General features: G+C 43.4%; 1 pseudogene; it reads right to left on the bottom strand.

Moving 5' to 3' along the window:
• Positions 6,091-6,815, bottom strand: EIF4EBP2P1 (eukaryotic translation initiation factor 4E binding protein 2 pseudogene 1; annotated as a pseudogene).

The following is a 12,262-nucleotide window of genomic DNA, read 5'->3' on the forward strand; positions in this document are numbered from 1 at the left end:
GCACACATGCCCCAGGCCAGCCAAGCAACTGTGTGACCATAACTAGGTCCAAGAAACAGCTATATGGGCAGCCCCGGTGGGCACCCTCCAGGCCAACTGAGTAGCCTTGTGGCTGCATCCCAGGCCTGAGAAACAGCCCCACAGTCTGCCCCTGGCATGCATGCCCCCAAGCCTGCAGAGCAGCTGTAAGCCTGTGTCCTGGGCCTGAGAAACAGCCCTGCAGACTGCTCCTGGCAGGCACAGCCCCAGGCCGGCCATGCAACCACATGCACACATTCCCAACTAGAGTAATAGCCTCTTAGCGCCAACCCCAGCCTCACGTTTGCCAACACACAATGTGCATGCATGCACCTCTGACCTGAAGAAGCAGCCTGGCAAGGCTACCCCCGGTAAAGCCACACCACTGCCACCACAGCCTCTGTTAGCCTAAGCCACTGAGACACTTGGAAATGTCACTAGAGTGGCTTATAGCTGAAGAAACTACATGGAAACTACAGTACTTTGTATTTTATTTATTTATTTATTTGTTTGTTTGTTTTTTATTTTTGAGACGGGATCTTGCTGTGTTGCCCAGTCTGGAGTGCAGTGGTGTGATCTCGGCTCACTGCAACCTCTGCCTCCCGGGTTCAAGCGATTCTCCCGCCTCAGCCTCCCCAGTAGCTGGGACTACAGGTGCCCGCCACCATGCCCAGCTAATTTTTGCTGGAAACTACAATACTGCAGCCCCCTAAAACCAAAGCCAGTACTCTCCACCAAAACAACACCCCATGTATATTTTTTGTAAGTGTTGTGACTTTATAATACACAGATAATATTTAACCTTCCCCACCCCAGTCATTTTTTTCTCATATATTTCAAGGTCTTTCTCTCACAATGATCCTTCCAGATAAACTTTTTTTTTTTTGAGATAGGGTCTTGCTCTCTTGCCCAGCCTGAAGTGCAATGGCACAATCTCAGCTCACTGCAGCTTTGAACTCCTAGGCCCAAGCAATCTTCTCACCTCAGCCTCCTGAGTAGCTGGGACTATAGGCACATGCCACCATGCCTGGCTAATTTTTTTTAATTTTAATAGTTTTTGGGGTACAGGTGGCTTTTGGTTATATGGATGAATTCTTTAGTGGTGAATGGTGAGATCTTAGTGCACTCATCACCAGAACAGTGAACACCATACCCAACATGTAGTCTTTCACCCACCTTCCAGTCTCCCCGACTGAGTCCCCAGAGTCCATTATATCACTCTGTATGTCTTTGCATCCTCATAGCTTAGCTCCCACTTATAAGTAAGAACATACAGTATTTGGTTTTCCATTTCAGAGTTACTTTGAATAATGGCCCCCAGCTCCATCCAAGTTGCTGCAAAATGCATTATTTTGCTCCTTATTATGGCTGAGTGGTATTTTATACTGTATATGTAACATTTTCTTTATTCACTCCTTCCTCGGTGGGTACCTAGGTTGATTCCACATCTTTGCTATTGCAAATTGTGCTGCTACAAACATGTGTGCATGTGTCTTTTTCATATAATGACTTCTTTTCCTTTACATGCCATGTATATTAACAACACTTTCCCTATAAAACCTACTCCCTAAAATTGGAAGAAGCAACTTTTCCATCAAATGCATAGAAATCAATGTAGGGACACATCAAACATGAACAATCAAGGACTCATGGCACCTCCAAAGGAACACAGTAGCTCTCCAGTAACAGTCCCCAATCATAAGGAAATATAAAAAATGCCAGAAAAAGAATTCAAAATAATAATCTGAAGAAAATTCAATGAGATACGATAGAATACAGATATACAATTCAATGAGATCAAGAAAACAATTCATGGTCTGAATGAGAAATTCAACAAAGAGATAGATATCATAAAAAAGAACCTAACAGATATTCTACAGCTGAAGAACTTAATGAATGAAATAAAAAATATATTTGAGAGCTTCAACAACACACCAGACCAAACAGAAGAAAGAATTTCTGAGCTTTAAGACAGGTCATTTGAAATAATACAGGCAGACCAAAAGAAAGAAAAAGAGAAAAGGAAGGAAGGAAGGAAGGAAGGAGGAGAAGGAAGGAAGAAAGAAAGAAAAATAAAGAGGGAGAGGGAGAGACAGAGAAAGAAAGAGAAAGAAAGAAAGAAGAGACAGAAAAGAAGGAGAAAAAAAGGGAGGGGGAGAGAGAGGAAAGAAAAGAAAGAAAGGAAAGAAAGAAAGAAGGAAAGAGAGAGAAAGAAAGGAAGGAAGGAGGAAGGGAGGGAGGGGAAGAAAGGCAGAAACAAAGGAAAGAAAAAGAAAGAAGGAGAGGGAGAGACAAAGAAAGAGAGAAAAAGAAAGAGAGGGGAGAGAGAAAAGAAAGAAAGATGAAAAGAAAGGGGGGAGAGAGAGGAAAGAGAAAAAAAAGAAAGAGAGAGAGAGAGAGGCAGGGAGGGAGGAAGGAAGGAAGGAAGGAAGGAAGAAAGAAAGAAAGAAAGAAAGAAAGAAAGAAAGAAAGAAAGAAAGAAAAAAGAGAAGAGAAAAAAGAAAAGAATAATTAAAAAGTGGCTGGGTGCTATGGCTCACACCCACAATCCAGCACTTTGGGAGGCCAAGATAGGAGGACCACTTGAGTCCAGGAGTTTGAGACCAGCCTGGGAAGCATAGTAAGGCCCCATCTCTACCAATAAAAGGGTTTTTTTTAATTGGCTTGGCATGTTGGTGCATGCCTGTAATATTGGCTCCTTGGGAGGCTAATGCAGGAGGATCACCTGAGACAAGGAAGTCAAGGCTGCAGTGAGCCACAGTCATGGCACTGCATTCCTGCCTGGACAACAGAGCAAGACTTTGTCTCAAGGAAAAAAAAATGAAGAAAGCCTACACAACTTATGTGACATTATTAAGTAAAGAAATACTCACATTATGGGTATTCCAGAAGGAGAAGATAAGGGAAAAGGTTTAGAAAGCATATTTAATAAAATAATAGCTGAAAACTCAAGTCTTTGGAAAGAGATGGACATCCAAGAAGATCAAATAACCCTAAATGGATTCAACCCAAACAGGTCCTCTCTAAGGCACATTATACTCAAATTGTCAAAAGTCAAAAACAAAGAAAGACTTCTAAAAGCAGCAAGAGAAAAGCATTAAGTCATATATAAAGGAATCTCTATTAGACTAACAGTGGATTTCTCAGCAGAAACCTTACAGGTCATGAGAGAATGGGATGATATATTTAAAGTACGGAAAGAAGGCCAGGCATGGTTGCTCACACCTGTAAGCACAGTATTTTAGGAGGCCAAGGCAGGCAGATTGCTTCAGCCCATGAGTTCAAGAGCAGTCCGGGCAACATAGCAAGACTCCATCTCTACAAAAATAGAAAAATTAGCCAGGCATGGTGGTATATGCCTGTAGTCCCAGCTACTCAGGAGGCTGAGGTGGAAGGATCACCTGAGCCTGAGGGGGCTGAGGCTGCAGTGAGCTGTGATCACACCACTGCACTCCAGCCTGGGTGACAGAGTGAGACCCTGTTCAAAAAAAAAAAATAGTACTGAAGAAAAAAAAAAAAAAAAAACTACCAAGCCAGAATATTATACCCAGCAAAGCTATCCTTCAAAAATGAAGGAAAAATAAAATCTTTCACACACAAGCAAAAACTAATAGGCCTTACAAGAAATACTCAAAGGAGTTTTACACCTGGAAGTGAAAAGACAACAGGCATCATCATGAAAGCATGTAAAACTATAAAACCCATTGTTAAGAGCTGATGCACAAAGGAGAAAGAGAAAATCATCAAACCTTATCAAACAAACTATGCAAAACGACTCAAACACAAAAATAATGAGAGGAAGTAAGGAACAAACAATAGATAAAACAACAAGGAAACAATCAATAAAATGACAGGAATAAGTCCTCACCTATCAATGATAACTTTGAATGTAAATAAACTAAATTCCCCCCATTTAAAGATATAGACTGAATGGATTTAAAAAAAAAAAAAGACCAACTACACATTACCTATAAGAATCTCGCCTTACCTGTAAAGACACACATAGGCTGAAACTGAAGAGACGAAAAAAGATATTCCAAGCAAACCAAAACCAAAAGCAAGCAGGAGTAGCTATGCTTACGATATGGTTTGGCTGTGTCCCCACCCAAATCTCATCTTGAATTGTAACTCCCACAATTCTCACATGTTGTGGGAGGAACCTGGTGGGAGGTAATTGAATCATGGGGGCAGGTCTTTCCCGTGCTGTTTTTGTGATAGTGAATAAGTGTCATGAGGTCTGATGGTTTTAAAAACGGGAGTTTCCATGCACAAGCTCTCTCTTTGCCTGCTGCCATCCATGTAAGACATGAATTGCTCCTCCTTGCCTTCCGCCATGATTGTCAGGCTTCCCTAGCCACGTGGAACTATAAGTCCATTAAACCTCTTTCTTTTGTAAATTTCCCAGTCTTGGGTATGTCTTTATCAGCAGCGTGAAAACGGACTAATGCAACTATGTCAAACAAAACAGACTTCAAGTAAAAAGCTGTAAAAGGAGACAAGGAAATTATATAATAATAAAGGGATTAATTCAGCCAGAGAATATAACAATTGTAAATATATATGCACCCAACACCAGAGCACCCAGATATATAAGGCAAATATTAGATCCAAAGGGAGAAATGGACCCCGATACAGTAATACCTGGGAACTTCAATGTCCCACTGTCAGCATTGGCCAGATCATGTGGACAGAAAATCAACAAAGAAACATCTAATTTAAACTGTAACACAGGCCAGGCATGGTGGCTCATGCCTGTAATCCCAGCACTTTGGGAGGCTGAGGCAGGCGGATCACTTGAGGTCAGGAGTTTGAGACCAGCCGGGCCAACATGGTAAAACCCTATCTCTACTAAAAATACAAAAATCAGCCAGGTGTGGTGGCATACACCTGTAGTCCCTGCTACTTGGGAGGCTGAGGTGGGAGAATCGCTTGAAACTGGGAGGCGGAGGTTGCAGTGAACTGAGGTTGTGCCACTGCACTCCAGCCTAGGTGACAGAGCGAGACTCTGCCTCAAAAATAAAAATAAACAAAAAATAAATAAACTGCATCATAGACCAAATGGACTTAACAGACATTTTACCCAACATATGCAGAATACACATTCTGTTTATCAGCACATGAAACATTCTCCATGACTGACCATACATTAGGACATAAAACAAGTCTCAAAAAAAACTTTTTAGCTGAAATTCTACTAAGCATTTTATCTGACCACAATGAAATAAAACTGGATATCAATAACGAGAGGAACATTTAAAACCATACAAATGAATGGAAGTCAAACAACATGCTCCCGAATGACCAATGGGTGATGACAGAAATTAATAATGAAATTTAATAGGTCAGGCATGATGGCTTACACCTGTAATCCCAGTCCTTTGGGAGGCCAAGGCAGGAGGACTGCTTGAGCTCAGGAGTATAAGACCAGCCTGGGCAACATGATGAAATCCTGTCTCTACTAAAAATACAAAAAGTAGCCACTTGGGCCCAGGAAGCAGAGGTTGCAGTATGTTGAGATGGCGCCACTGCACTCCAGCCTGGGTGACAGAACGTGACCCTGTCTGCCCCCCACTCCTCCAAAAAAAGGATGAAATCCTGTCATTCGCAGCAACATGGATGGAACTGGAGAATATTATGTTAAATGAAATAAGCCAGGGGAACAGAAGGTTAAACACTGCATGTTCTCACTCATATGTGGAAGCTTTAAAAAAAAAAAAAAGTTTATCTCATAGAAGTAAAAAGTAGAACAGAGAATACTCGAGATTGGGAAGGATGGGGGAAGGTGGGGTTAGGGAGATATTTGTTAAAGGATACAAAATTACAGCTAGATAGGAGGAGTAAGTTCTAATGCTCTACAGCACTGTAGGATGACTGTAATTAGCAATAATACTGTATATAGTTTCACACAGCTAGAAGGAGGATAGTGAATGTTCCAACACAAAGAAATGACAAACGTTTGAGATGATGGATGTGCTAATTACCCTGATCTGATCACTATATATTATATGTATCACAACACCGCTATGTACTCATATATATGCACAATTATTATGTGTCACTTTAAAAAATGTTTTTAACTGTTTTCCTCTATGGGCTGCTTAGCTCTACAGATATACACCAGGAGTCTTCAATCTAAGCTAACTGGGAAGGGGAACAGGGAACAGGAAACAGGGAGAAGAAACGGTCTGATGAAACTCACCTTCCCATCATTTGGCAGCCAGAAGAAGAGGAGCAGGTGGAGACTGTAATGGGGACTGCTAGTATTGCCTTTTCTGTCTTTTTGTTATTGATCCTATTGGCCAAATTAGGTACACACAGGTATCAGCATTGCTGCTTTTCTTCTGATCCTTGCAGGAAAGTCAGATGTCCGTCTCAAACTGAGCATCATCCTAAACTGCGTGTTCCCTGTCATGATTGTTCAAGTTGTTTACTTCTACTTAGGAGTCTTCTATTGAAGTGCCAGGGCTAGTGACTCCTGGGATATCGGGCAGATGGCAGGGCTGTGTGTGAGCCATGGGAGAACTGCAATGATCCAACAGAAACTTTTGATCATAAATGATTCAAGATCCCTGGGGTGTGGTGAAGAGCATCCTCCGGGCATGGTGCAATAGCCATGAGGTAGCTGCACATGTCGCTGATGGGCACAGTGTGGGTGGGGATGGCACAGCACTGGCTGGGCTGGTGACTGCTGCCAGCAGACAAGGACTTGGCTCTGGGTGCAGGCACTCCGCTTCATCCTGAGGACAGGCTGTGGCGGCTGCAGAGCTGGGCTGCTCCACCTCCTCAGGCAGGAGGAAGGCTAAAAATGTTTTGTGTTTTTTGTGGTTTTATTGTTGTGGTTGTTGTTGTTGTTGTTTTTGATACAGAGTCTTACTCTGTTGCCCACGCTGGAGTGCAGTAGCATGATCTGGGCTCACTACAGTCTTGACTTCCCGGGCTCAAGCAATCCTCACACCTCAGCCTCCCAGGTAGTCGGGACTACAAGCGTGCACCATCACACCTCGCTAATTTTTCTATTTTTTGTAGAGACAGGGTTTCACCATGTTGCCCAGGCTGGTCTTGAACTCCTGGGCTCAAGCAATCCTCTCACCTCAGTCTTTCAAAGTGCTGGGATTATAGGTGTGAGCCACCATGCCCAGCCTGGTCTTTTTTAATTTAATTTTGCTTTATTAAGGTTTTTTTTAGGCTAGGCACAGTGGCTCACACCTGTAATCCCAACATTTTGGGAGACTGAGGCGGGCAGATCACCTGAGGTCAGGAGTTTGAGACCAGCCTGGCCAACATGGTGAAATCATATCTCTACTAAAAACATGAAAATTAGCTGGGCGTGGTGGTGGGCGCCTGTAATCCCAGCCACTCAGGAGGCTGAGACAGCAGAATCTTTTGTGTCCAGGAGGTGGACATTGCAGTGAGCCAAGACTGTGCTACTGCACTCCAGCCTGGGCGACAGAGCAAGACCCCATCTCAAAAAAGATCAGCCCATTAAAAATGAGTAAAAGACCTTAACGAACACTTTACACAAGAAAATGCGGAAATGGCCCTTATGCACATGAAAAAAGCTTCATCCTTCATTAGTCACCAGGGAAAAACAAATTAAAATCACATTGGGATACCTCTACATATTTACCAAATGGCTACATTTAAAAACTAACAACATCAATTATTGTTAAGAATGTAGTGTAACTAGAACTCACACATTGTTGAGGGGAGTGTAAAATGGTACAATCACTTTAGGAAAAAAATCTGACGGTGTCATAAAACTAAACATACACCTGGCCTGTGACCTGCAATTCTACTCCTAGATATTTACTCAAGAGAAAGGAAAACATGCCCACAAAAAGGCTAGCATGCAAGTGTTCATAGCAGCTTTATTCGTAATAATCAAAAGCCAAAAACAGATCAGAAGAATGGATAAACACACTGTGGTGTATTCATAAAATAGAATATGGTTGAGCACTAAAAAGCCACAAACAACAATATGAATAAACCTCAAAAACATTACACGTAGTCAAAGAGCCTTACTAAAAAGCATATATGGCCGGGCGCAGTGGCTCATGCCTGTAATCCCAGCACTTTGGGAGGCCAAGGTGGGCAGATCACCTGAGATCAGGAGTTTGAGACCAGCCTGGCCAACATGGCAAAACCCCGTCTCTACTAAAAATACAAAAATTAGCCAGGCGTGGTGGCAGGCACCTGTAATCCCAGCTACTCAGGAGGCTGAGGCAGGGAGAATCGCTTGAACCCGGGAGGCGGAGGTTGCAGTGAGCCAAGATCGCGCCATTGCACTCCAGCCTTGGCGACAGAGCAAGACTCTGTCTCAAAAAAAAAAAAAAAAAAAAAAAAAAAAAAAAAAAAGCATATACACTATACGATTTCATTTACATGAAATTCCAGAACAGCAAAATTAATATATCATGAAAAAATCAGAACAGTGGTTGCTTTGGGGAGTGGGGTAGGGATCGATTGAGGAGAGGCTTGAGAGAACTTTCTGGAGTTGATGTTACTGTCCTATAACTTAACTGGGATTTGGGACTCGTAAGTGTTTGCCTTTGTCCGAGCTTGTTGAAAGGTACACTTAAGATTTGTGCAATTCACTTTATATAAATTATATCTGAAAAATACCTGTAAACAAATGTTGAGCTGAAGTTATGCAGGTCAAGGTGTTTAGAGGTAGAATATGCTGATGTCTACAACTTACACTGAAATGTGCCAAAAAATAAGATGGATTGATAAGTGAAAAGATGAATGGCTAGATAAATGGATAGATGATTAAGCAAAGACAGCAAGGTGATAAGTATATCAGTGTTAAAATGTGCGATTCTTTCAACTTATCCATATATTTGAAAGTTTCTATAATAAAACTGTAGGGGAAAATATATATATACTCTTCAACCCAGAAATTTTACTCCTGGGAATTTATCCCATAGAAATAAAAGTATTTGTCTATAATAACACGTGTGAGAACATTTATTGCAATGCTGTTCCTAGTGACCAAGAACTGGAACCAAAGTGCATATCCATGAAATGGGGGTGGATATGAGTACTCACCTGAGTAGAGCGTGGCACGTCCACACCATGGGCTAGAACGTGGCCGCTAAAAGGAGTAAGTCAGAGCCTCTCCAGAGAGTTTAAAGGGATTTCACTGAGGAACGGTTGAGGGAGAAAAGCAAGAGTGAATAATATAATCCTATTTTTGTAAAACAATCACACACACCACACATACACTCTCTCTCTCTTGTTCTCTCTCTCTGGATAGAATTATATATATTTAAAAAAATGGAAGAACACAGATTGCTAACACAGCTTATGGGTAAAGGCAAAAAATAAAGGGTTGAGTGTTGTTATGGGGGTAAGGGGGAATATCCATGATTTAAAAAACAGCACGTATATCATCTCCTTTAAGTTAAATTTTCTGGCCAGACACACTCAGGAGTTCAAGACGAGCCTGGACAACATAGCGAGACCCTAGTCTCAACAACAACAAAAAATTAGTTTGGTGTCGTGGTGCATGCCTCTAGTCCTAGCTACTTGGAAAGCTGAGATGGGAGGATGGCTTGAGCCCAGGAATTTGAGGCTTCAGTGAGCTGTGATTGCACCACTGCACTCCAGCCTGGGCAACAGAGCAAGACCCTGTCTCTTTAAAAGATAAATAAATAAAATTAAAATAAGTTAAATTTTCTGTAGTATGCAGCGTGTGGTGCTTAAAGAGATGCACATGAAGGCTGGGCACCAAAATGTTAATAATGGTCATCTCATGGTGGTAGGATTCCAGGTAATTATTTCCTTGTCTTTGTAGGAAGGAAGGGAGAAAGGGAGGGAGGGAGAGAGGGAGGAAGAAAACAAGTCTACAGGTCTCATATCCTTACCTCCTATTATCTCTTCAACCCACCCCAACTCCTACTGGGTTTTTTTGTTTTTTGTTTTGAGACAGGATCTCACTCTGTTGTCCATACTGGAGTGCAGTGGTGCCATCACAAGTCACCGCATCCTCCATCTCCCAGACTCAAGCCATCCTCCCACCTCAGCCTCCCAAGTAGCTGGGACCACAGGCATGTGACACTGCGCCTCAATATTTTTTTTATTTTTTGTAGAGACGAGGTCTCAATATGTTGCCCAGGCTGGTCTAGAACTCCTGGCCTCAACTCCCAATTCCTACTTTTGCCAGACCCTAATCTTATCTGACCTCTCACCAGCATTTCGCATTGTTGGCAGATGTCTCCTTGAAATACTCCCTTCAATCAACTTCCATGGCACCCTGCTCCCAAATCCTGCCTCTGCGATCATCACTTCTCAGTCCTCTTTCCATCCCTCCCATCATCTTCCTCTGGATTTTGTCCTCAAACCTGTCCTTTTCTCAGTTTAATTACCATCTAGATGCTAATGTCTCCCAAGCTGCTGTCTTGAACTCCAACCAAACATCTCTAATTGGATGTCCCACAGGTCATCAGACCCAGCATGGCCAAAACTAATCTCATCATCTTTCCCCCAAAAGCTACTGCTTCTTCTCCTGCAGTCCAATCTCAGAGAATGTCAGCATCGCCACCCACCACTTGCTAAAGCCATAATCTTGGATATCATTACTCTCTCCTACTCCCACATCCAGTCGCTCACCAGGTGCTGTCAGTTCTGTCTCCCAAGTCTCTATCCATCCATCCTCTTGTCTGCATCTCCCCTACCCCTGCTTTGATTTGGGCACCATTACATCTCTTGTAAATGACTGAAGCAGCCTGTTCATTCATCTTTCTGTCCACTGCCCCCATTTATCTCCCATAGATGCCAGAGAGATTTTTCTAAACCACAGATCTGACCTCATCACTTCCCTGTTTAAACCTCTTTGAGGATTTCCCATTGCTCTTAAGATCAAGGTCAAACTCTTAGAAAGAGAAAGAAAGAAAGAAAGAAAGAGAGAGAGAGAGAAAGAAGGAAGGAAGGAAGGAAGGAAGGAAGGAAGGAAGGAAGGAAGGAAGGAAGGAAGGAAGGAAAGAAAAAAAAAAAGAAAGAAAGAGGCCGGGCGCGGTGGCTCACGCCTGTAATCCCAGCACTTTGGGAGGCCGAGGAGGGCAGATCACGAGGTCAGGAGATCCAGACCATCCTGGCTAACACGGTGAAACCCCGTCTCTACTAAAAATACAAAAAATTAGCTGGGCATCATGGTGGGTGCCTGTAGTCCCAGCTACTCGGGAGGCTGAGGCAGGAGAATGGCGTGAACCCGGGAGGCGGAGCTTGCAGTGAGCGGAGATCGCGCCGCTGCACTCCAGCCTGGGCGACAGAGCACGAGTCCGTCTCAAAAAAAGAAAAAAAAGAAAGAAAAGAAAAGAAATTGGCCGGGCTTGGTGGCTCACGCCTGTAATCCCAAAACTTTGGGAGGCCGAGGTGGGCAGATCACCTGAGGTCAGGAATTTGAGACCAGCCTGACCAACATGGAGAAACCCCGTCTCTACTAAAAATATAAAAAATTAGCCGGGCGTGGTGGCGGGTGTCTGTAATCCCAGCTACTCAGGAGGCTGAGGCAGGAGAATCTCCTGAACCCGGGAAGCTGAGGTTGCAGTGAGCCGAGACTGCATCACTGCATTCCAGCTGGGAGACAGAAAGACTCCATCTCAAAAAAAAAACAAAACAAATATATATATAACTTTTTTTTTGACAGGGACTCCCTCTGTCGCACAGACTGGAGTGCAGTGGTGCTATCACAGCTCACCGCAGCCTCCATCTCCCGGCCTCAAATGATCCTCCTGCCTCAGCCTCCTGAGTAGCTGGAACCACAGGCACAGGCCACCCCACCCAGCTAATTTTCTGTTTTGTTTTTAGTAGAGATGAGGTTTCACTACGTTGCCCAGGCTGGTCTCAAACTCCTGGCCTAAAGCAATCCTCCCATCTCAGCCTACCAAGGTGCTAGGATGATAGACATGACCCACTGCACCAGGCCAAGATCAAACCCTTAAACATGACACATTGGTTTAAAGATATGCTCAGCCTCCCCCAGCACATGCCATCTCCAGCCCCTGGCCTCTCTCTTTACCACAAATCTAAGAAGCAAGAACACTGCTGTGGGCCCTCTTCAAGGGCTAGGGGCGCTGGAACATTTGGCAGAGGTGAGGATGCCTTTTCCTTTTTGGAAAACTACTTTCCAGGTGGCTGAAGAAGTGAGAGGGCTGAGGTTGCTTCCCCTAGGGCGACAGCCTTCCATCTCCCACTCATCCCTCTGACTCTATTATTCTCAAGAGGTTGGGGCAATGAGCTGGGT

Source organism: Homo sapiens, chromosome 20 (assembly GCF_000001405.40).
Source record: "Homo sapiens chromosome 20, GRCh38.p14 Primary Assembly".
Taxonomy (NCBI): domain Eukaryota; kingdom Metazoa; phylum Chordata; class Mammalia; order Primates; family Hominidae; genus Homo; species Homo sapiens.